At 38.2% G+C, this 27119-nt stretch overlaps 1 protein-coding gene and 1 long non-coding RNA gene across 3 annotated transcripts in view; one reads left to right on the forward strand and one right to left on the reverse strand.

Moving 5' to 3' along the window:
• Positions 1 to 27119, forward strand: part of TPRG1 (tumor protein p63 regulated 1) — a 328078-nt gene that overhangs the window by 51223 nt on the left and 249736 nt on the right. The gene's annotated exons all lie outside the window — the stretch shown is intronic.
• Positions 15431 to 27119, reverse strand: part of LOC107986167 (uncharacterized) — a 37180-nt gene continuing 25491 nt past the window's right edge. Inside the window, exons 3-5 of the long non-coding RNA XR_007096249.1 lie at positions 24787 to 24885; positions 22356 to 22488; positions 15431 to 15971 (exon numbers count right to left, since the gene is read on the reverse strand). This is a non-coding gene — a long non-coding RNA (uncharacterized LOC107986167). The remainder of the gene's footprint in view (positions 15972 to 22355; positions 22489 to 24786; positions 24886 to 27119) is intronic.

A 27119-nucleotide genomic window follows, 5' to 3' on the forward strand; every position in this document is an offset into this window, starting at 1 on the left:
TGGGTATTGACTTAAAACTAAAGTCACCAGATGCATTAATCCCTAAAAAGATGAGTCAGCCTATCCTTTGATGCTTTGAAGCCAGTCATTTCTTGTTCCTCTTAGAAAGTCCTAGTTGGCATCTTTTTCCAATAGAAGGCTGTTTTTTTTCTACCTTGGAAATCTGGGCTACATGAGTTGGATCATGGTGGATGGGACTCAAGACTAGATTCAGCTCCAGACAGAGCAGCATGAGGAGGCTTGCACTGTGAATTTTACCTCCAGATCGACTGCAAGAACAAACCAGCAATCTCAAGAGGACCCACAGACCCTCTGAAGGAAGCGAATGCTCCTGCAGGACCTGGGAGACACTCCAAATACTGTGAGTGCCCCAACTGCAGAAGAGCGAAAGGGAGACCCTCCCGTCCGCAACACACACCCCCACTGGAGAAGCTGAAGATCTGTTTGCAGGAGAAGTTTCCAACTTCACCTGGAGCTGAGTCAAGTTAGAGAGCTGAGCGAAATACAGGGGTAGAGGAGCAGCAGAAAGGCCTTGAGAGCTCGCTTGGTCCCCAGGCAACCCATTCCTGCATGGCACCACAGCGATCCACTGGGAGGGTAGCCAGAGGAGCAGGGAGTAAAACTCCACAGGGAGAAGGAATTCTCTAGCTGAACTTTGTAATAATTTGAACAGGGTGAAAAGCCTCCCGGCCACAACTAGGGGAAGGGTGGGAATAGGTTGGGCAGACTTCACAGGCACAGGCACGGAAGAACTAAAGCCCTTTTCTCTTGCAGCTGGGAGGCAGATAGCCTCAGGCAAGTTTTCAAGCCCCTCTCGCCCTCCACCTGGAAACAGGCTTGGGGCTGTGGGTAGTGGGGGCATAGTGGGAGTGAGACTGGCTCTTCAGTTTGCAATGGGAGCTGGGTGAGGCCTCTGACTGCTTGCTTTCCCCCACTTTCCTGACGACCTTCATGACTCAGCAGAGGCAGCCATAGTCCTCCTAGGTACACAACTCCAGTGACCTGGGAATCTCACCCCCATACCCCACAGCAGCCACAGCAAGACTGGTCCGAGGAGAGTCTGACCTCAGACACACCTAGCCCTGCCCCCACCTGACGGTCCTTCCCTATCCACACAGGTAGCTGAAGACAAAGGGCATATAATCTTGGGAGTTCTAGGGCCCTGCCCACCACCAGTTCCTCTCCACACTACTACAGCTGATGCTTTCTGGAAAGCGCCACCTCCTGGCCCAAGGCTAACCAGCACAAAAATAGAGCATTAAACCACCAAAGCTAAGGACCTTTAGGGAGTCCACTGCACCTTCTGCCACCTCCACCAGAAAAGGTGCTGGTATCCATGACTGAGAGACCCATAAACGGTTCACATCACAGGACACTGTGCAGACAACCCCCAGTACCAGCCAGGATGGAAATTTAAAAAATCTTTGAACTGAATGACAATAATGACACAACCTATCAAAACCTCTGGGATACAGCAAATTTGGTGCTAAAAGGAAAGTTCGTAGCCCTAAACACCTACATCAAAAAGCCTAAAAGAGCACAAACAGACAATCTAAGGTCACGCCTCAAGGAACTAGATCAACAAGAACTGACTAAGCCCAAACTCAGCAGAAGAAAGGAAATAACCAAGGTCAGAGAAGAACTAAATGAAACTGAAACAAACAAACAAAAAACACAAAAGATAAATGAAACAAAAAGCTGGTTCTTTGAAAAGAGAAATAAAATTGATAGACCATTGGCAAGATTAACCGAGAAAAGAAGAGAGAAAATCCAAATAACCTCACTAAGAAACAAAACAGGAGATATTATAGCTGACACCACTGAAATACAAAAGATCATTCAAGGCTACTATGAACAACTTTATGCACATAAACTAGAAAACCTAGAAGAGATGGATAAATTTCTGGGAAAATACAACCTTCCTAGCTTAAATCAGGAAGAATTAGATAACCTGAACAGACCGATAACAAGCAGCAGGTTTGAAATGGTAATTTAAAAATTACCAACAAAAAAAATTCAGGACCAGACAGATTCAGAGCAGAATTCTATCAGACATTCACAGAATTGGTACCAATCCTTTTGACACTATTCCACAAGATAGAGAAAGAAGGAACCCTCCCTAATGCATTCTATGAAGCCAGCCTCACCCTAATACCAAAACCAGGAAAGGACATAACCAAGAAAGAAAACTACAGACCAATATCCTTAATGAACATAGATGCTAAAACCCTTAACAAAATACTAGCTAACCGAATCCAACAGCATATCAAAAAGGTAATCCACCATTATCAAGTAGGTTACATAACAGGGATGCAGGGATGGTTTAACGTACACAAGTCAATAAATGTGAAACACCACATAAGCAGAATTGAAAACAAAAATCACATGATCCTCTCAATAGATGCAGAAAAAAGCATTCAACAAAATCCAGCATTCCTTTATGATTGAAACTCTCAGCAAAATCGGCATGCAAGGGACATACCTTAATGTAATAAAAGCCATCTATGACAAACCCACAGCCAACATAATATTGAATGGGGAAAAGTTGAAAGCATTCCCTCTGAGAACTGGAACAAGAAAAGGATGCCCACTCTCACCACTCCTTTTCAACATAGTACTGGAAGTCCTAGCCAGAGCAATCAGACAAGAGAAAGAAATAAAGGGCATCCAAATCGGTAAAGAGGAAGTCAAAATGTCACTGTTTGCTGACGATATTTATCATTTACCTTGAAAACCCTAAGGACTTCTCTAGAGAGCTCCCAGAACTGATAAAATAATTCAGCAAAGTTTCCAGATACAAGATTAATGTACACAAATCAGTAGCTCTTCTATACACCAACAGCGACCAAGCAGAGAATCAAATCAAGAACTCAGCCCCTTTTACAAGCTGCAAAACAAATAAACAAACAAAAAACCACCTTAGGAATATACATAACAAAGGAGTTGAAAGACTTCTGCAAGGAAAACTACGAAACACTGCTGAAAGAAATCATAGATGACACAAACAAATGGAAACACATTCCATTCTCATGGATGGGTAGAATCAATATTGTGAAAATGACCATACTGCCAAAAGCAATCTACAAATTCAAGCAATCCTCATCAGAATACCAGGATCTTTCTTCACAGAATTAGAAAAAAAAATTCTAAAATTTATATGGAACCAAAAAAGAGCTCACATAGCCAAAGCAAGACTAAGCAAAAAGAGCAAATCTGGAGACACCACACTACCTGATTTCAAACTATACTATAAGACCATAGTCACCAAAACAGCATGGTACTAGTATAAAAATAGGCACATAGACCAATGGAACAGAATAGAGAACCCAGAAATAAACCCAATTACTTCCAGCCAACTGATCTTCAACAAAGCAAACAAAAACATAAAGTGGGGAAAGGACACCCTTTTCAACAAATGGTGCTGGAGTGATTGGCTAGCCACATGTAGGAGAATGAAACTGGATCCTCATCTCTCACCTTGTACAAAAATCAACTCCAGATATATTAAGGACTTAAACCTAATACCTGAAACTATAAAAATTCTAGAAGATAACATTGGAAAAACTCTTCTAGACATTGCTTTAGGCAAGGATTTCATGACCAAGAACCCAAAAGCAAATGCAATAAAAACAAAAATAAATAGCTGGGACCTAATTAAACTAAAGAGCTTTTGCACGGCAAAAGGAACAGTCAGCAGAGTAAACAGACAACCCACAGAGTGGGAGAAAATCTTTACAACCTATACATCTGCCAAAGGACTACTATCCAGAACTGCAATGAACTCAAATCAGTGAGATAAAAACAAACAATGCCATCAATAAGTGGGTTAAGGACATGAACAGACAGTTCTCAAAAGAAGATATACAAATAGCCAACAAACATATGAAAAAATGCTCAACATCACTGATGATCAGGGAAATGCAAATCAAAACTACAATGAGATACCACCTTACTCCTGCGAGAATGGCCATAATCAAGAAATCAAAAAACAGTAAACACTGGCATGGATGTGGTTAACAGGGAACACTTCTACACTGCTGGTGGGAATGTAAAGTAGCACAGCCACTATGGAAAACAGTGTGGAGATTCCTTAAATAACTGAAAGTAGAACTACCATTTGATCCAGCAATCCCACTACTGGGTATCTACCAGAGGAAAAGAAGTCATTATTCGAAAAAGATACTTTCACATGCATGTTTGTAGCAGCACAATTCACAATTGCAAAATTGTGGAACCAACCCAAATGCCCATCAATCAATGAGTGGATAAAGAAACTATTATATATATATATATGCTATGCAGCCATAAAAAGGAATGAATTAACAGCATTTGCAGTGACCTGGATGAGATTCGGGACTATTATTCTAAGCGAAGTAACTCAGGAATGGAAACCAAACATTGTATGTTATCACTGATATGTGGTAGCTAAGCTATGAGGACGCAAAGCCATAAGAATGATACAATGGACTTTGGGGACTTGGGGGGAAGAGTGAAAGAGGGGTGAGTGATAAAAGACTACAAATATGGTGCAGTGTATACTGCTTGGGTGATGGGTGCACCAGAATCTCACAAATCACCATTAAAGAACTTACTCATGTAACCAAATACCACCTGTATCCCAATAACTTACAGAAAAAAAAGAAAATCAGATGTTTAGTGTAGCCAGCTTCATCAATTATCTTAGCTAAATCTTCTGAATAACTTGTGGCTCCTATATCAGCACTTGCTGCTTCACCTTGCACTTTTAGGAAGACAGCTTTTTTCTTTAAACCTCATGAACCAACTTATACTAGCTTCCAACTTTTCTTCTGCAGCTTCCTCACCTGTCTTAGCCTTCATAGAATTGAAGATAAAAGCAGCCCAATTTTCTCATAGAACTGATGTTTATGGTTTCTTTTGAGGAAACATAGAAATTGACCCTCCCAGTCTTGAAACTTGAGGAAATTATTTTTGTCTTATCCGAGTTTCTTTCTCAGGAAACCAAACATTTGGGCTCCCGGATAGTATCAAGGAATTGAAACTTACCAGATCACTGCATACGGACAATAAGATGCCAGACCCCGCACCCACCATGATTGCCTAAGTGACCTTCCACTTCCTGTTGACCAACTCCTGCTCCTTGCTCCTCCCTAATTTCTGTTTTCCCATATGTGGTTACATTTCTTCTCTGCTATATAAACCCCTAATTTTAGTCTGCCAGGAGGACGGATTTGAGACTGATCTCCCATCTTGGCTGCAGTACCCAGTTAAAGCCAATACTCATTGTCTCAGTGATTGGCTTTCTGTGTGGTGAGCAACAGGACCTAGACTGAACCCTGGTGTTTTGGTAACAAAGAGCAACAGGACCTAGACTGGACCCTTGTGTTTTGGTAACAAGGAGAGTTAGGTCATCGCCCTGGATTAGGCTTCGGCTTAAGGGAATGTTGTAGCTTGTTTGATCTTCTTTACAGATCACTAAAACTTTGTATCTGCAATAAGGCTGTTTTGCTTTCTTAACATTTGTGTATTCATTGAAGTAGCACTTTCAATTTCCTTCAAGATTTTTTCCTCTACATTCACAGTTTGGCTGTTTGGGGTAAGACGCTCAGCTTTCAGTCTTTTTTGTTGTTGTTGTTTTCAACATTCTTTTCTCACTAAGCTTAATCATTTCTAGCTTTTGATTTAAAATGAGAGACATGCAAATCTTCCTTTTACTTTAACCCTTACAAGTCATTGTAGGATTATTTATTGGACTAATTTCAAAATTGTTATGTCTCAAAGAGGAGAGAGTCCTAAGGAGACAGAGAAGGACGGGAGGATGACCAGTTGGTAGGACAGTCAGAGTATACACATTTGTCAATGAAATTTGCCATTTTATAAGACCATGGTTTGTGGCACCCCAAAACAATTACAATATTAACATCAAAGATCACTGATTATAGGCTAGGCGCAGTGGCTTATGTTTGTAATCCCAGCACTGTGAAAGGCTGAGGTGGGATTACAAACATAAGCCACTGCATCTAGCCTGTAATCAATGATCTTTGATATTAATATTGTAATTATTTTTGGCGTGCCACAAACCATGCTCTTATAAAATGACAAATTTAAATGGCAAACTCCTCAGGGCTAGGAGTTTGAGACCAGCCTGGACAACATAGTAAGACAACAATGTCTACACACACACACCCACAGATGCACACACACAAAAGCCGGGTGTGGTGGTACCCATCTGTAGTCCTAGCTACTGGGGAGGCTGAGTGAGAGGATCACTTGAGCCCAGGGTAGAGGTTATGGTGAGCTATGATTGCGTGACTGCACTCCAGCCTGGGTGACAGAGTGAAACACTGTCTCTTAAAAAACAAAAATCACTGATTATATATAACCATAACAGATAGGATAATAATGACAATGAAAAAATGTTTAAAATAGTTTGAGAATTACAAAAATGTGACACAGAGAAACGAAGTAAGCATGTGCTGGTGGAAAGATGGTGCCAATAGACTTGCTCAATGCAGAGTTGCCACAAACCTTCAGATTGTAAAAAATGCACCATCTGCAAAGTGCAATAAAGTGGAGTGCATTAAAATGAGGTATGTGTGTACAGTTTTTCTCTAACTAAACTATCTGTTTGAATAAAATGCTACCTAGTATTTAGTTGTAGAGTTTCTCCTGGCTAAATTAAAAGTTTTGTCTATGAACACTTAGGCTAGAAATATGAGATCCTTTTCTAAGGTCCCCAGGTAGTTAGAAGAGATCTCTTAATGCCCAGTCTAAAAGTACCACTGTCTTTCTTCTAGTGTTATCTCTTATTTCCTCTTCTTTCCAAAGACCTTCTACTGTTCCTAGCTTAGGTTTTGATCCTCAGAAGCAGACCCTGAGGCAAAAATCCATGTGAAATTGAATTTTAAGGAAATGTTCCCAAGAATAACTTGTAGAGTAATAGCGAAGTGGAACCAATAGAAAAGGAGGCCAAGTCAGAGTACGCTATCAACCAGAGGTCCGCAAGGGCCCACTCAGGCTCTGATTCACAGGGAAGTTTTGGGAAGCGTGTAGGTAGTCCCAAAAATTTGTCCCAACCAAGGTGCAGGGGAGCTAGAACATTTATATTCCTCACTCACCAGTCATTTGTTAAAGGAAACTCTCCATCTTCCTGACCAGAGGGCTGGGTTGTGGATGGGAATATGTAACATATCAGACACTTCTTATTCTCTGACTGTGTAGGCAAACAGTTTCTGGCCATTTGAGAACAGCCCTCCCAACAAAGAGATGGCAGGTGCTAGTTTTCAGGAGTAAAATTCCACCCAAAGCTAGCGTTCATGAAATTGGTAATGAGGTCCAAGGGAATATGTGTGGAGTCCTGATACTGACCCATACAGTTCCTTTCCAGGCATAGAGGGTAGAGTACTACACCCATTATGATCTGGCTCCAAAACCTCTCTCACTGCTCTGCTTTTCCCTTACCTTCCAGTCTCCTACCTTTCTATATGCTGTTTCTTCTGCCTGCAGTGGCCCTCTCTTCCCTGTCCATTTGCTCTTTCTTACTCTGCTTCAATGTCACCTCTTGTATGAGGATCTCTCTCTCCCTCCCTCCCTTCCCTCCCTCCCTTCCTTCCTTCCTTCCTTCCTTCCTTCCTTCCTTCCTTCCTTCCTTCCTTCCTTCCTTCCTTCCTTCCCTCTTTCTTTTCTGAGAGAGAGTCTCATTCCATTGCCCAGGCTGGAGAGCATGGCAAGATCTTGGGTCACCGCAACCTCTGCCTCCCGGGTCCAAGCGAGTCTCATGCCTCAGTCTCCCAATTAGCTGGGATTACAGGCACATGCCATCATGCCCAGCTAATTTTTGTATTTTCAGTAGAGACGGGGTTTTGCCATGTTGGCCAGGTTTGTCTTGAACTCCTGACCTCAAGTGACCTACCCACCTCTGCCTCCCAAAGTGTTGAGATTACAGGCATGAGCCACCATGCCCAGCCTAGCAGAGGTATTTTTGCTGTTTGTTTTCTCTCCCCCTTATTTGTGTGTGATTCCTACCAGGCAGAGTACAGGACCCAATAAATAGGCCTCAATAAATGTTGAGTAAATGAATGAAAAGAACTTCAAGTCTCCCTGCCAATCAAAGTAATCAATCTCTCCATGATTACACCATTTTCCTCTTAATCATAATTATTTATACTCATGTACTAATTCCCCTGCCAGTTTACAAGTTCCTTGAGGTCAAGAATCATGTTAGATTCCCCCATGAAAGTGCCTAGTATAGGTTTTTGAACATGGTAGGGGTTCAGATGATGCTAACTGGAGTGGTTACAAGAATCTCTCAGTGCAGACAGATGAACAGATTGAATCCATGATACTGCAGCAGGGTGGGGTTTTCAGTTTTTACTCTTGTTCACACCTACTCCTTTGGGACTGTAATGTCTTAGGCTACTAATCAAAATGATGGCTGGTGCTTTGGAAAGCCTCAGTACTATGTCACGATTGAAGATGATATACATCCCCAAGTTCATATGATTTTTTTTCCACTGTACATCCAGTGCTCTTCCAACTGCATCTTGAACTCACTTCCCCCTGAGGATAATTTCTGAAGTGTAAAAATTAATCACTCTTGCTTCCCCTTGAAGCATTGCTAAATTAATGGCTTGACATCACATCTATCATGCTTTCTCTAAGCTCTCTAGGGCCCGTTAGGATTGGGGAGTTTCTGGGAACACAGCACAGGCTGAGTGAGAAAATCTTCCTTGGGAATCAGTGAGTGAATCCAAAATTGTTTCATACACAGTGGCATTTGAGGCCCTGGGCTTATGGCTTGTGTTGCCAGCACATGATGTATGCTTCAGCCATGAGGTGCTTGCTCACGTTTGCATTGGTACACTATTTCTTCAGGTCTGAATCACTAAAGTAGAAAATATTCCCTCTGGGCTGTAACATGAAAGAGAAGATTTTTAGATTGAAAATCATTTTGTAAACCTCCTGCAATTTTATTTTGTCTAGACAAAAGGCAATAAAAGGAAGAAAAATCATCAGAGATGGTAATAAGGAGACACGTGCAAGAGGATTTGCTTCTTACAGAGCCCTGATTGCTTTTTTTTTTTTTTTACACATTCTGTGGGCTCTTTTCTACAACCCCATCACTTTCTAAAAATTCTTCAGACACTTTTCTCTGTTTGACTGCTCTCCCAGGAGAGAAGTGTTAATAGATGTGGACAAACTTCATGTTGAAACAAAAACATGGAATAAAACACCAGAAGTAAATGACTCACTAATAGGAGACAAGAGGGCATTATTCTAATTTTGGAACCATGGTTCATATTTCTATTAGTATATATATACATATATATATATATACACACACATATACATATATGTATATTTATGGGTATGTATGTATATATATGTGTGTATATATATACACACATATGTATGTGTGTATATATATACACACATACGTATGTGTGTATATATATATACGTATACACATATATACACACGTATATATCTTGTATATATGAATATATAAGTATATATTGTGTGTATATATATGTTGTATGTACATATATTGTAGGTTGTGTATATATTATGCTGAATATTAACATGACAGTATGTATATGTCAGGATTTTTTCTGGACCTCCACCATCTTCCTCTGCATAGTGAGTTAATTGAAGCCAATTTGGGCTGGGATATCCACTACCTGTAGAGTGAGTTTGTACTCATAGACTGTCAGCAAGAAAGGGGCCTTGGAGATCATCAGTTATGTCCCCAATCACATATCACACTTAGGAAGAGCGAGGTCCCAGCGATGACAAGTAATGTAAATATGTGTTAGAGCTGAAGTGTCAACATTGCACTCTGGGATCTTTTCATCATCCAAAGCTTTGCTCTCCTTAAATCCATCTCTGACATGTTTATCAATAGATTATTTTCTTTGTACTCAGGAGTGTAACGTCGGTACACAGAAAGTCTCCACAATTGTAGTTTGGCCTCAATTGACACAGTAATAGGCGGAAAGTGAAAATGTTAGCTGGTTTCTATAAAATGGCACCAAACACACAACCTAATTAATTCTGCTTTATTCTTTATATTTATAACTGTGTATCTACCCTTTGTGGGGCCCACAAAACAAGTCATTGGATCAAGGGATTCGGAAAAGTCAAGGCGCTGTTAGAATTAATATAGTCTCCACAAAGAAGGGTGCTAACAAAGAGGTATGCATCATGAAATTGTTTTAAGAAAAATAATTGTTAATGCTGGTTTCTTAAAGCTGATGCTTCCTTAGGAAAGCAGTGGGTTGTCTGTGGGGCTAATTTACCCAGTATGTGACTAACTTACAACAGCTGTATTTAGAATACACACTCAGCCTTTATCGCTGGGGCTGAAGGAGAGTTGAATGCTTTATGCTTTTGCTGCTCAGGCTGAATTGATGGAATGGACCTCAAAATATATTAACTATAAGGCATACTTAGAAGCATTGAAAACGTCCCACATGCACAGATACCAGCAAGCAAGATCGAGCAAACTGAGGAATTTTCATTTAGATGGGGTCCTTTCTGTAAGCATATCTAGTTCTGCCCCTCTTAGCACTAGCACTGAGGCTCCAAAAGTCATTAGGGTGTCCCAGGGCAGAGTAGTAGCAGTTCTGGCTCCGTTGCTTGCTAGTTCTGTGATATTGGGCAAGTTATTTACCCTAGCGAGCCTCAGTTTCCTGATGTCTAAAATTTAAATAATAATATCTAATTCATAGGATTGTTTTGAGGATGACATGAAGTAGTCCCAAGTTTCCAAGTAAGACAGTAAGAATAACTAATATTTTCCAAGCACTTTCTGTGCCAGACACAGTTCTTAAGTACTTCACAAATATTAACTCAATTAAATCTTAGAAAAAGTCTGTGAGAAGGCCAGGTGCAGTGGCTCATGCCTGTAATCCCAGCACTTTGGGAGGCTGAGGCGGGTGGATCAGGAGGTCAGGAGATGAAGACCATCCTGGCTAACATGGTGAAACCCCGTCTCTACTAAAAATACAAAAAATTAGCTGGGTGTGGTGGCATGCGCCTGTAGTCCCAGCTACTTGAGAGGCTGAGGCAAGAGAACCGCTTGAACCCAAGAGGTGGAGGTTGCAGTGAGCTGAGATCGCGCCACTGCACTCCAGCCTGAGCGACAGAGCAAGACTCCATCTTAAAAAAACAAAAACAAAAACAAAATGAAAAAAACAAAGGAAAAAAAAAAGGTCTGTGAGATAGTCAATATTTTTGTTTCAGTTTTAAACATGAAAAAACTGAGGCATAGTGAGGTTAAGTAATTTTCTTAAAATCACATAAATAGTAGTTATATAGCTGGGATTCAAACCTTGATAGTCTGGAATGAAAGGTAATATAGATCAAGTAGGCTTCATCCCCAGGATGCAAGGTTGATTCAACACATACAAATCAATAAATGTGATTCATCACATAATAAAGACAAAAGCTGCATGATTGTCTCAATAGATGCAGAAAAGGCTTTCAATAAAATTCAACATTCCTTCATGTTAAAAACTCTTGGCTGAGTGTGGTGGCTTACGCCTGTAAGCCCAGCACTTTGGGAGACCGAAGTGGGTGGATCACCTGAGGTCTGGAGTTTGAGACCAACCTGACCAACCTGGAGAAACCCAGTCTCTACTAAAAATACAAAATTAGCCGGGTGTGGTGGCGCATGCCTGTAATCCCAGCTTTTCAGGAGGCTGAGGCAGGAAAATCACTTGAACCTGGGAGGCAGAGGTTGTGGTGAGCTGAGATTGCGCCATTGCACTCCAGCCTGGGCAACAAGAGCGAAAATCCGTCTCAAAAACAAACAAAGAAACAAACAAAAAACTCAATAAACTAGGTTTTGAAGGAACATACCTCAAAATAATAAGGGCCATCTATGACAAAGCCACAGCCAACATCATACTGAATGGAGAAAAGCTGGAAGCATTCCTCTTGAAAACTGACACAAGACAAGTATGCCCTCTCTCACCACTCCTTTTCAACATAGTATTGGAAGTCTTGGCCAGAGGAATCAGGTAAGAGAAAGAAATAAACAGCATCCAAATTGGAAGAGAGGAAGTAAAACTATCCCTGTTTGTGGAAGACATCATTCTATATCTAGAAAACCCCATAGTATTGGTTCAAAAGCTCCTTAAGCTGATAAATAACTTCAATAAAGTTTCAGGACATAAAATCAATGTGCAAAAATTGTTAACATTCCTATATACTAACTACAGCCAAGATGAGAGCCAAATCAGGAAGGCAATCCCATTCACAGTTGCCACAAAAAAGAATAAAATACCTAGGAATACAGCTAACCAGAAAGGTAAAATATCTCTACAATGAGAATTTTGAAACTCTGCTCAAAGAAATTAGAGATAACACAAACATATGGAAAATCATCCCATGGTCATGGATAGGAAGAATCAATACCATGAAAATGGCCATACTGCCCAAAGCATTGTACGGATTCAACACTACTCCTCTCAAAGTACCCATGACATTCTTCACAGAACTAGAAAAAAACTATTTAAAAATTCATATGGAACCAAAAAAGAGCCTGAATAGCAAAGGCAATCCTAAGCCAAAAGAACAAAGCCAAAAGCATCACATTACCCAACTTCAAATTATACTATAGGGCTACAGTAACCTGAACAGCATGATACTGGTATGAAAATAGGCACATAGACCAGTGAAACAGAATAGAAAGCCCAGAAATAAGGCCACACATTCACAACCATTTGATCTTTGACATTGCTGACAAAAACAAGCAATGAGGAAAAGACTCCTTGTTCAATAAACGGTGTTTGGAGAACTGGATAGCCATATGCAGAAGATTGAAGCTGGACTCCTTCCACCATATACAAAAATTAACTCAAGATGGCTTAAAGACTTAAATGTAAAACCCCAAACTATAAAACACCCCTAGACAAACTGGGCAATATCATTCTAGACATAGGAATAGGCAAATATTTCATGACAAAAATGCCAAAAGCAATTTCAACAAAAGCAAAAATTGACAAATGAGATCTAAGTAAGCTAAAGAGCTATTGCACAGCAAAAGAAGCTATTAACAGAGTAAACAGACAATGTACAGAATGTGAGACAATATTTGCAAACATTGCATCTGACAAAGGTCTAATATCCAGCAGCTATAGGGAACTTAAATTCACAAGAAAAAAACAAACAATCACATTAAAAAGTGGGCAAAATACATGAACAGACACTTTTCAAGAGAAGACATACATGTGGCCAACAAGCATATTTAAAAAGCACAATATTACTGATCATTAGAGAAATGCCAATCAAAACCACAACGAGATGCCATCTCATGCCAGTCAGACTGGCTATTTATAAAAAGTCAAAAAGTAACAGATGATAGTAAGGTTGTGGAGAAACAGGAACATTTATACACTGGTGGTGGAGTGTAAATTAGTTCAATCATTATGGAAAGCAGTGGGGCAATTCCACAAAGAATTAAAAACAGAACTGCCACTTGACCCAGTAATCCCATTACTGGGTATACACCTAGAGGAATATAAATCATTCTACCATAAAGACACATGCCTGTGAATGTTCACTGCAGCACTATTCACAATAGCAAAGACATGGAATCAACTTAAATGCCCACCAATGACAGATTAGATAAAGAAAATGTGGTACCTATACACCATGTTATACTGTGCAGCCATATAAAAGAACAAGATCATGTCTTTTGTGGGAACATGGATGGAGCTGGAGGCTATTATCCTTAGCAAACTAATGCAGGAAGAGAAAGTCAAATACCACGTGTTCTCGCTTGTAAGTAGGAGCTAAATGACGAGGACCTGTGAACACAAAGAAGGGAACAACAGATACTGGGGACTACTTGAGGGTAGAGGACTGAGGAGGAAGAGGATCAGAGAAAATAACTATTGGATACTAGGCTTAATACCTGGGTGATGAAATAATCTGTACAACAAACCCTGGCGACATGAGTTTAACTATATGTCAAACCTGAATATGTATCCCTGAACCTAAAATAAAACTTTAAAAAAAGAAAATGATAATTTTTTTGGACTGTTAGGAAGAAAGAAGGAACAAAAAAATAGCAGAAATATGAGTACATACAATGGACTATCCTTCCCCTCATGAGTTTTATAAATCATAATTGATCACTGAAATAAAAATTCTCTTACCATCTGACATTCAATGATATTTAAAAGTGGAGAAGGAAAATGGACCTAAATTAAAGGGAGGATTCCATGTCTGAAATGTTGATGCCAGTAGAATGTGATAAGCCATATAATAAGCCATATGTATATGTTGTAATATCCCCACCCCACAAAAAACTACAAAAGCTGTACAAAGAAATACTCTGAGAAATACTATAAATAAATCAAAATAGAATAATAAGAAATTTTCATATAACCCACAGGAAGGCAATAAAAGAGTAACAGAGTAACAAGAACCAGATGAAATAGAAAACAAACAATAAAATACTAGGCTTCAGTACCAACATATCAAAAATTATCTTAAATATAAATTATCTGAATACATCAATCAAAGAAAGAGATTGGTAGAGTGAACAAAAAAGACCCAATGATATACTGATTACAAGAAATTCACTTTAAATTCAATGATATGGGTGGATTGAAAATAAAGGAATAGAAAAAATTTACCATGCAAACTTTAAGCAAAAATGCAGGTGTGGTGTATTAATATCTAATAAAGTGGACTTCAGAGCAAAGAAAATTACTAGAGAAAAAGTCACATTACATAATAATAAAAGGATCAACTTACTAGGAAGAGGTAGTAATTCTAAATGTACACACCAAAAAACAGAGCTTCAAAATGCATAAAGCAAAAACTGATAGATTTGCAAGGAGAAATAGGTAAATCTACAGTTATAATTCAGTACTTCAGCATTACCTTTCAGCAACTGATAGAACTCCTAGAACTCCTAGACAGTAAATCAGAAAATACTTAAAAGATATGAACCACACAATTATTCACCAATAGTATCTAAACGACATATGTAAAAACTCCACACAATAGCAGAATAAACTTTTTTTCAAGTGCCCATTTAACATTCAGTTATATATTCCATATTCTGAGCCATAAAATATACCTCAACAAATTTATAAGAACTGAAATCATACAGTGTGTTTTCTCTGACTACAATGGAATCAAACTAGAAATAAATAAAGTCTACAGGAAATTCTCAAAATATGTGGGAATTAAGCAACATACTTCTAAATACTTTATTGGTCAAAAAGGAAATCTCAAAGGACATTTAATACATATACAAAACCAAATTAAATTGAAACAATAATGTGTCAAAACATATGGGATGCATCTAAAGCAGTCCTGAGAGGGAAATTTATAGCAGTAAAAACTTACTCTAGAAGCAAAGTGTTTTGGAGGTCCCCAAGACCACTCCTGTTTTGGTGATTTTATTAGAAGAGCTTTTAGGACTTAGAAGTCATTATACTCATGATTGTGGTTTATTATAGTAAAGGGTCCCAAGAAAAATCAGTGAAGAGAAAAGGTGTATGGGTAACGTTTGGAGAAAATCAGGCACAAGCTTCTAAGAATATTCTTCTAGTGGAGTCACTAGAAAATACACTTAATACACATAAGATGCACTTAATTCTTCCAAGAATAAATTGTGAAGGTGCATGTAAAGTTTTGTCTATTACAGAGACTTGTCTAAGCCTATAAGTTCACAATTTTCATTGTGGGTTGGTTACATAGGGATATAGTATCCGTAGGACTGACTACAGTTGCTGAAGATCCAGGTCCCCAAAGGAAATGAGTTTGTTCATAAATCACATTCCTCATACAAACTATTTAGAAAGCCTGGCATAATATGGCTCAAGGTCCCAAGTGTTTAAAGCATTCCTAGAAGTTAGAACATTCCAAGATCTCAATTCCCAAGAACTGTTTAAGGCCTCACCACAGAATAGGGCTTTCTTGAGAACTGCAAAGTTGGAGCAACTCAGGACAACTGGGTTAACGCTTTCCTGTACACAAGAAAAAAAAATTCAAATCAATAATCTAAATTTCTTTCACAAAAGATTAGAAAAAAAGCAAAATACATCCGAAGCAAGCATAAGAAAAAATAAGAAAGATTATAGCAGAAATTAATAAGATTTAAAATGAGAAATGATAGACAAAGTTAATGAAAGCAAAAGCTGATTCTTCAAAAAAGTCAGTAAAATCAATAATCTCTAACAATACTAGTAAAAATAAAAAGTGAGATGACATCCCTAATATCAGGAATGAAATAGAGGATATTATGATAGATGCTGCAGCCATTACATTGCTAATTAGAGAATACTGTGAAAAGCTTTATGTGCTATAAATTCAACAACTAAAAAAATACACAAATTCCTAAAAAATTAGACACCACAAAAACTCAAACAAGTTGAAATAGATAATGTAAGTTGTCTTAGAATCATTACAAAATTGGATTAATAATTTAAAAACTAATAATTAAGAAATCTCAAGGTTGGCCACAGTGGCTCACACCTGTAATCCCAGTGCTTTGAGAGGTTGAGATGGGAGGATTGCTTGAGATTAGGAGTTTGAGACCAGCTTGGACAACAAGGTGAGACTCCATCTCTACAAAAAGTTTGAAAATTAGCTGTATGTGTTGGCGCACAGCTACTCAAGAGGTTGAAACAAGAGGCTTGCTGAAGCCCAGGAACTCAAGGCTGCAGTGAGCTAAAATTATGCTAGTACACTTGATTCTGGGTAACAGAGCTAGACTGTCTCTTAAAAAAAAAGAAGTAAAAAAATACCATTTTGAGACCAAAATGATTTTACTAAAGAATAATACCAAACATTTAAAGGAGCATTAACACAAATTTTGCACAATTTCTTCCAGAGAATAGAGAGGAAACACTTATTACCTTATTTTATGAGACCAGTAGTACTCTGATACCAATACCAAACAAAGACAGTACAAAGAAAGAAAGTCACAGACTTGTATCCCTCATGATTTTAGATGTAAACATTTTAAACAAAATATTAACAATCCCTATCTAACAATATTTAAAAAGAATTATAGATCATGAACAACAGATTTATTTCAGGTATAGAAAAGTGACTTAACACTCAAAAATCATTCATGTAATATACCATGTCCAAAAGCTAAAAAAAAAAGGCAATGATGATATCAATTGATGCAGAAAAAATATTTCACAATATCAAACATTTATCAGGATAAAAACATTTAGCAAGTTATAAATAGGAATTACTATGACTTGATATGAACATCTACAAAAAAACTGTAGCTAATATCATACTTATTGGTCCAAGACTAAATGCTTTCCTCCTAAGTCTGAGAACAAGGCAAGGATGTCTTTAATACTACTCTTATTCAATAGAGTACTGGCGCTCTAGCTACTGCAGTAAGCTAAGAAAAAAAAAGGCACACAGATTGGAAAGGAAGGAATAAAACTATAATTTTTTGAAGATGACATGATTATCTTAATAAAAATCCCAAGGAATCTAAAGAAAAAGAATCCTAGAACTAATAAATGAATTCATCAACTTTGCAGGATATAAGATTAAAACACAAAAATTGGACATTGCAGCTGATACTGCAGAAATTCAAAGGATCATTATAGACTACTATGAGCAACTATATGCCAATAAATTGGAAACCTAGAAGTGGGTAAATTCTTAGACACATACAGCCTACCAAGTTTAAGCCATGAAGAAATGCAAAACCTGAATAGATGAATAACAAGTAACAGATCAATGCCATAGTAAAAGTCTCCGAGCAAAGGAAACCCTGGGACCCAATTGCTTCATTGCTGAATTCTACCAAATATTTAAAGAAGAACTAATATCAATCCTACTTAAACTATTTCAATAAATAGAGGATAAGAGAATATTTCCAAACTCATTCAACAAGGCCAGTATTACCCTGATACCCAAACCAGACAAAGAACATTACAAAAAAGAAAACTACAGGCCAATATCGCTAATAAACATTGAGCAGAAATTCTTAATATAATACTAGCAAACTGACTTCGACAATACATTAAAAAGATATTTCATCATGACCAAGTGGGATTCAACCCAGGGATGCAAGGATGCTCCAAAAAATGCAAAAATAAATCAATATGATACATCATATCAGCAGAATGAAGTACAACATATGACCATTTCAATTGATGCTGAAAAAGCGTTTGATACAATTTAACATCCCTTCATGATAAAAACCTTAAAAAAAAAAAACTGGCTATAGAAGAAACATGCCTCAATACAATAAAAGCCATATACAACAGATCCACAGCTAGTATTATACTAAATGGGGAAAAACTGAAAGCCTTTCATATTAGATCTGGAACAAGACAAGAATGCCCCTTTCCCCAGTTATTCAACATAGCACTGGAAGTCCTAGCTAGAGCAACAAAATGAGAGAAAAAAACAGAAAAGGCATCCAAATTTGAGAGGAAGAAGTCAAATTATCCTTCTTTGTGGATGATACAATCTATCATTTGGAAAAACCTAAAGACTCCACCAAAAAACTATTAGAACTCATAAACAGATTCAGTAAAGTTGCAGAATATAAAAATCCACCTACAAAATTTAGTAGCATTTCTATATGTCAAGAGTGAGCAATCTGAAAAAAGAAATCAGGAAAGTAATCCTATTTACAATAGTTACAAATAAAACAAAATACCTAGGAATAAACTTAACCAAAGAAGTGAAAGATCTCTACAATAAAAACTATAAAACATTGATGCAAGAAATTGAAAAGAATACAAAAAGTGGAAAAATATTCCATATTCATGGATTGGAGGCATCAATATTGTTATAATGTTCATACTACCCAAAGCAATCTATAGATTCAGTGCAATCTCTATCAAAATACAAATTACATTCTTCAGAAATAGAAAAAATAATCCTAAAATTTATATGGAACCACAAAATGCCCAGAATAGACAAGTCTGTCCTAAGCAAAAAGAACAAAACTGGAGAAATCACATTACCTGACCTCTAATTATACTACAGAGCTATAGTAACCAAAACAGCATGGTACTGGCATAAAAATAGAAACATAGATCAATGGAACAGGACAGAGAACCCAGAAACAAATTCACACATCTGCAGTGAACTCTTTCTCAACAAAGGTATCGAGAAAATACACGGGGGAAAAGACAGTCTCTTAAGTAAGTGGTGGTGGGAAAACTGGATATCCATATGCAGAAGGATGAAGCTAGAGCCCTATCTCTTCACATATGTAAAAAAAATCAAATCAAAATGGATTGAAGGCTTAAATGTAAGACCTCAAGCTATGAAACTACTAAAGGAAAACATTGGGGAAACTCTCTAGGACATTGGTCTGGGCAAAGATTTCTTGAGTAACAACCCATAAGCACAGGTAGTCAAAGCAAAAATGGACATGTGGAATCATATCAAGTTAAAAAGCTTCTGCACAACAAAGGAAACAATCGACAAAAAGACAACCCACGGAACAGGAGAAAATATTTGCAATCTATCTGGCTGACAAGGGATTACTATCCAGAATATAAAAGGAGCTCAAACAACTCAATAGGGAAAAATCTAATAATCTGATTAGAAAATGGACAAAAGATCTGAATAGACTTTTCTCAAATGAAGACGTACAAATGGCCAACAGGTATATGAAAAGGTGCTCAATATCATTTATCAGCAGAGAAATGTAATTCAAAACCACCGTGAGATATCATCTCACTCCAGTTAAAGTGACTTTTATCCAAAAGAGGCAATTGCTGGCAAGAATGTGGAGAAAAAGTAACTGTCATACACATTTGATAGAAATGTAAATTAGTAGAGCCACTATAGAGAACAGTATGGTGGTTCCTCAGAAAACTAAAAATAAAACTACCAGATGATTCAGCAATGCCACTGCTGGGTAGATATCTAAAGGAAATGAAATCCGTATGTTGAAGAGATAATTGCACTCACAACATGCGCTATTTGCAATAGCCAGGATTTGGAATCAACCTAAGTGTCCATCAACAGATGAATGGATTAAAAAAAGATGGTACATATACACAACAGAGTACTAGTCAGCCATAAAAAAGAACAAGATTCTTGGCTGGACGCAGTGGCTCACGCCTGTAATCCCAGCACTTTGGGAGGCCAAGGTGGGTGGATCACTAGGTCAAGCGTTTGAGATCAGCCTGGCCAACATAGTGAAACCCCGTCTCTACTAAAAATATAAAAAATTAGCCAGGCGTGGTGGCGGTCGCCTGTAATCCCAGGTACTCAGGAGGTTGAGGCAGGAGAATCGCTCAAACCTGGGAGGCGGAGGTTGCGGTGAGCCGAGATTGTGCCACTGCACTCCAGCCCGGATGATAGTGCGAAACTCTGTCTCAAAAAAGAGAAAAAGGAAGGAAGGAAGGGAGGGAGGGAGGAGGGAGGAGGGAGGACAAGTTTCCATCATTTGCAACAACGTGGAGAGAACTGGAGAACATTATGTTAAGTAAAATAAGCAAGGGACAGAAAGACAAACTTAGCATTTTCCACTCATTTGTGGAAGCTAAACGTTAAAACAATTGGATTCATGAAGGTAGAGAGTAGAATGAAGGTTACCAGATGGGCATTTATTCAGAGAAATGAAGACCTATGTTTACACAAAAACCTGTATATGAATATTTATAGATGCTTTATTCATAATAGCCAAAACTGGAAACAATTCAGATGTCACTCAGTGGGTGAATAGCTAAACAAATTGTTACATCTATATCATGAATTACTGCTCAGCAATGAAAAAATCGCTAACTTCCCATGTGTACAACAGCCTGGATAAATCTTAAGAGAATTATGGTGACTGAAGGAAAAAAGCCAATTCCAGAAGTTATATTTTATAATTCCATTTAAACAACTTTCTTTAAAATACATACTTTTAGAAATGGAGAACAGGTTAATGGTTACCAGGGATAAAGGTAGGAGTGGGCCAGACGACAGTGAGTACAGCAAAAAGGGAAACATGAGAGATTCTTTCGGTGATGGAACTGTTCTGTATCTTGACTGTATCAATGTCAAAATCTTGGTTGTGATATTGTACGATAGATAGTTTAAGATCTTACTTTTGGGGGAGACTGGATAAAGGGTACATGGTATTTATCTATATTATTTTTTACAGTTGCATCTAAAGGTATAATGATCTAAAACAAAAATGTTTAATAAAAAAAGAAAAGCCCTTGCAAATACCACATGACCCAGAAATTTCAGTCTTGGGCATTTAGTCCAGAGAAATGACAACTGACATTCCCACAAAATGTATACACATGTTCATAGCAACTTTCTTCATAATAGCCCCAATCTAGAAATAGCCTAGATGTGCTTCAACAGGTAAGTAGTTAAACAAACTGAGGAACATACATACTATGGAATACTACTCCACAATACAAAGGAAAAACAGGCTGGGCGTGGTGGCTCATACCTGTAATACCAGCACGAGGTCAAGAGATCGAGACCATCCTGGCCAACATGGTGAAACCCTGTCTCCACTAAAAACACAAAAATTAGCTGGATGTGGTGGTGCCACGTGTCTGTAGTCCCAGCTACTCGGGAGGCTGAGGCAGGAGAATCGGTTGAACCTGGGAGGTGGAGGTTGCAGTGAGCAGAGATCACGCCACTGCACTCCAGCCTGGTGACAGAGCGAGACTCCATTTCAAAAAAAGAAAAAAAGGAAAAACAATAAGAAATACACACTGCTTGGAAGAATGTCCAGTGAATTCGACTGACAGAAATAATTTCAAGTTACATACTGTATGATTTAATTTATATAACGCTTATGAAATGACAAAATGTTAGAAATGGAGGACAAATAAGTGGTTGCCAGGGAGTCGTGATGAAAGAGGTATAGGCAGGAGAGGGGTGAGTATCATTATGAAAGGTCAACACAAGGAACCCTTGGATGAGGGAACTGTTCAGTACCTTGTCTGTGGTGATGGCTATATGAACCTATACATGTAATAAAATTGAATAGAACTAAACACACACACTCATGAATGTGCATAAAAATAAGTATAAGTCCCCTTCTCTGGGGATATTTGATTACGATTGCCAGTTCGTATCAATGTCAATATCCTGATTGTGCTATGATAGTATAGTTTTGCAAAATGTTACCACTGGAGAAACTGGGTAAGGTTTCTTAAGGATATATGTATTATTTCTCACAATTGCATTTGAATCCAAATGATTTCAATAAAAATTTAAATCAACGTATAGTAAGAAAGAGAGAGAAAGAGAACAATACGACAGTTTTATTAAAAAAATTCTTCGTGGCTACAGCTTGAAATCTAAGATAGCTGAGCATCTAGGTATTCCAGAATCTTACATTATTGAAAAGGAGATATTCCAACCAATCTAAAGTTAGTAGGAGCAAAGGCAATTACCTGAAAAACATGGCAGGAGATTGAGTTGGGGCTTGCGAGAAGTGTGAATCTCTGTGTGACCATTGTTTAAACTGGCCTTTGACAGTCCAAGATAGAGGCCACAAAGCTGAGGGTTGAGGGGATGAAGGAAGGCCTGTTGATTGAAAATAGAAATTCTCAGATTTGTTTCTGGGTTTAAATATGGTGACTTGATGAAACTTCTGGCTTTGTTACTTACCCCAGGAATTGCCTGGAAGCAAAGAAACTAAAAGCCAAAGAAAAAGAAAAAAAAAAAAAAAAAAGGAATGCCTTAGAAACAGCTCAGTGAAGGTCCCCAGACCAGGTGCCCAAAGCAGACTCTGGTCACCAGGGCAGAGAATCCTGTTATTCCTGCTCAGCAGAATTGATATATGCAGGGGACCAGCCATCACTATGTGTGGGTGGTTCCAATTTTTCCTTTTCCATGTGGGAACTTAAAGCTAACCCTAAATATTTCTGTTAAATAAGCCAATAAATTTCCTTTTTCCTTAAACAACTTTTAGTTTAGTTTAATGTCACTTACCATTAAAGAGATCCTTATAAATACATTGTTCATCCATTTTATACTTAGTAGTGTATGAGTTTTACACACACACACACACACAAAGTAGCACAGCAATGCAGAGGTATTTATCCACACAGACACAGAGGTGTCCACACACTTGCACAGAGGCATGAACTTACACCTATAAGCATCAGTATGCATCTGTACACACACAGACACACACACATGCAATTGAAAGAGGCAAGCACACAGGTACAGAAAAAGTCATTTACAGTGGTATATGTGTGTGCATACAGAGTAATAGCTCCAGCAAAAACTACCATTATGAGTCATCCTCTGCCTGACACCTTTCAGCATATCATTAGCCTGAGGGTATTCAAAGGCAGAGATGATGCACTTACTGCCAACGATTAATGAGCAGAGTTACATTTTGTTTGAGCTTCAAAAGATGATGTAGGATTATAATATAATGAAGGTTTCTAAGGTTCGAAATCTGCTAATTAGCTTGTGTGTTCACTTCAATGGAGCTTTGGTTCCCACAAATAAAATCAGCACCTAGATCTCTTTAAAGTAGTCTCTGCAGAGCTGGGTTCGGGAAAACTGTAGACTTACAGCATGGTATCATCTCTGTCCTTCTTGGTATATGCATGGACAGTAAAGCTAAGCCTCATTTAGTTGAGAAGTAGTAATCAGGGAATGTGAAATGTTGGCCATACTGGGCCTTTGTCAGGCTGACTTGATAGTGATGATGGAGAAAAAAAGGAACATTTTATGTTCTCACTGAACTTGATTCTAAAACATATGGAGGAGCAGGCATAATAAATGGGCCCATCATTTAAGGATTTCCCTTCTTTCATCAATGTCTTGAAGCAATTTAACATTCATATAACATTTGACCTACAGATCATATTCCAGAACTGTCAGTTTTCCCATAGTATGCTTTATGACTATTATCTCCTGCCCCAGTTTAAGAATCCAATCTAGAGTCATGAATTGCATTTAGGTGTCATGTTTCTTTACTTTCCTTTAATTAGGAACCATATTCAGCTGTTCTTTGTTTTTTATATTATTGATAATTTTGAAAAACAAAGCTCAGATATTTTGACTATTGTTTCTCAATGTGGATATTTTTTATATTTTTTATGATAAAATGGAAATTATCCCTTTATGGCTAGTGTACTCCACAGGTGATATTTTATTTTTCATGGGGCATACATCCAGAGGCACAATATGTCTGTGTGCCCTTCATTGGTAATGTTAATTTAGATCACTTGGTTGCAAGTGTTCAGTTTCTCCACTTTTTTCTTTTTTCTTTATAAGTAATTTGTAGTGATATGCTTTTAGATTTTGCAAGTATTTTTTATAAAACTACCTTCCTCTACCCAAGATCCATTGGTTGTTTCTTGCCTATCGTTCTCTTTATATCTCTCTATCAATCAATTCGTCCATCCATCCATCCATCCATCATTTATCTGTCTATGTAATTTTTATTAGTAGGGACTCATGGAATTTATTATGTTTAATTGTTTATAATCTACAACAGTTCTCATTAATTTCCTTACTCACATCGTCCCAGATATCAAAGTGGGAGCCCCTTCAAGCATGCTTCTGTGTATTGTTATATGCTTCCCAAGTTTTTAAGACACTTTCTTACTCTTTGGCACAACAAGATGATGATCTTATCTTGTGCTTTCCCTGCCCCAGTTATTGAATTGAATTAGTAGCTATTTCCACAATGAGTACTGGTTTGTTTAGTGGGAATAGCATTTAGAAACTGAGATCTGGGTACTAGATGTGTTCATTTCTATGTGAGTGCACTGTTTTAAGAGCTTTCATAGACAGACCTAGGAAATAGATACCTATATGGAATCAGAAGTTTCTATTTCTCTGAATGCATCCCAACCTTACAGGGTTTTTCCTTGCCTTCTCCCATTCTGTATGTGTATTTCTTCCTTCCAAGAACTCTGGCTTCCAGGGATATCTGTATATTTGCTCTTTTGTTCGGTCCTGTTAACACAGACACATACAAAGTTCTTTCAGTGTTATTACTCTCATGACACTATAAACACAAATCAATTACGAGTATTCAAGATTTGTTTGTAGTTCTTTTTTTCGCCCCTTTGGATGAAAGGTATATAGATAAAGTAGAGAACTAAGTTATTTGAATAGGTATCTTTTTTTCCCATTTAGTGTGCTTAAATTTATCTAAAACACTCTTATGTTCATTTTTTTCTGTTTGTACTTGGTTTTAGTGTTTTCTTTCTCATGCTCGTTGATTTAATTTTGTTTTGAATATGTAGATCATTATGATAATTCTATATGTCAAAACATTACAAAAACAATGTGCTCAGAAAAGTGTCACATTCTCCCTTATTCTTTATACACCCCTGTAGGTGAGCAATTTTATTATTTTTTGGTTTATCCTTTCAATGTTTCTTTTAGGAAAAATGACTTTTTTTCTTCTTTCTCATGCACAATATATACAGAAGTAATATGTATGCTTCTATTTTTATTCAAATAGCATGTATGCTACCAATATTCTCTTGTATTTTTACTTTTTATGGTTATCAACATATTTTAGAAATTACTCTGTATTATTTCATGTATTCTTACCCTCACTTTTGAATGACAGTTTAATTGAAACTGTTGATTCAAGTTGTGAACTCCTTTATTAGTTTTTGGAAGCTATTGGTGCTGATGAGAAGTCGGCCATCAAATAACGGTTGTTAGTTGTAGAATTTGGCCTTTCTCTTTGTCCTTGAAGTTTTTCAGATTCATCAAGATGGGCTGCTGTATAGATTTGGTGTAGATTTTTCTTTATTAATTCATGTTGGCGTTTGGAGTTTTTTTTAATTCTGAGGAATTATTTTCCTTTTTTTTTTTTTTTTTTTTTTTTGACGTGGAGTCTCGCTCTGTCACCCAGGCTGGAGTGCAGTGGCGCGATCTGCGCTCATTGCAAGCTCTGCCTCCAGGTTTCGCGCCATTTTCCTGCCTCAGCTTCTTGAGTAGCTGGGACTACAGGCGCCCGCCACTACGCCCGGCTAATTTTTTGTATTTTTAGTAGAGATGGGGTTTCACCGTGTTAGCCAGGATGGTCTCGATCTCCTGACCTCGTGATCTGCCCGCGTCGGCCTCCCAAGTGCTGGGATTACAGGTGTGAGCCACCGCGCCCGGCCCAGAATTGTTTTCTTTTTTACGTTTGGAAACTCTTTCTGGAACTCATATTAGATGTAGGTTAGAGCATCTTAGTTTATTCTCTATGCTTCTTAATCATTCTTTCATGTTTTTATTTCTTTTTCCCTGTGCTGTTCTTTCTTTAACTGTGTTCTTTTATTGATCAACTATGCTTATTTATTGATCTTATTGTTATATCCATATATTCTTTCATTAATTATGCTTTTTAAAATATCTTTGAATCTTTTATGTTATTTCATCATTTATCACTTTGAGTACACTAATATCCTTATTTTAAAGTCTGTCAGCCTACCTTTTTTTTTTTCTTGAGACGGAGTCTCGCTCTGTCGCCCAGGCTGGAGTGCAGTGGCGCGATCTCCGCTCACTGCAAGCTCCGCCTCCCGGGTTCCCGCCATTCTCCTGCCTCAGCCTCCCGAGTAGCTGGGACTACAGGCGCCCGCCACCACGCCCGGCTAATTTTTTGTATTTTTAGTAGAGACAGGGTTTCATCGTGTTAGGCAGGATGGTCTCAATCTCCTGACCTCGTGATCCACCTACCTCGGCCTCCCCAGCCTACCCCTTAATATCAGTTTTACAGAGAGCGAATTCATGCTCTGATTTTTAAATTTTATTATTTTTTTTATTTTTTGAGACGAAGTCTCAGTCTGTTGCCCAGGCTGGAGTGCAATGGCACGATCTCCACTCACTGCAACCTCTGCCTCCCGGGTGCAAGTGGTTCTCCCGTCTCCGCCTCCCAAGTAGCTGGGATTACAGGCATGCACCACCATGCCCGGCTAATTTTCTTGTATTTTTAGTAGAGATGGGGTTTCACCATGTTGGCCAGGCTGTTCTCGAACTCCTGACCTCAGGTGATCCACCCACCTCGGCCTCCCAAAGTGCTAGGATTTACAGGAGTGAGCCACTGCACCTGGTGCATGCTCTGATTTTTTTGCTTCATTGGTTGTCTTTCCTCACTCTAGACTTCTTTATGAGTTTTAGAATTTGAGTAGATGGGCCCATTGTCAGTCAGCCAAATTATTTTTGTCTCTTTTTTCTCCCTGGTCAGT

This window comes from Homo sapiens, chromosome 3 (genome assembly GCF_000001405.40).
Source record: "Homo sapiens chromosome 3, GRCh38.p14 Primary Assembly".
NCBI classification, from domain to species: domain Eukaryota; kingdom Metazoa; phylum Chordata; class Mammalia; order Primates; family Hominidae; genus Homo; species Homo sapiens.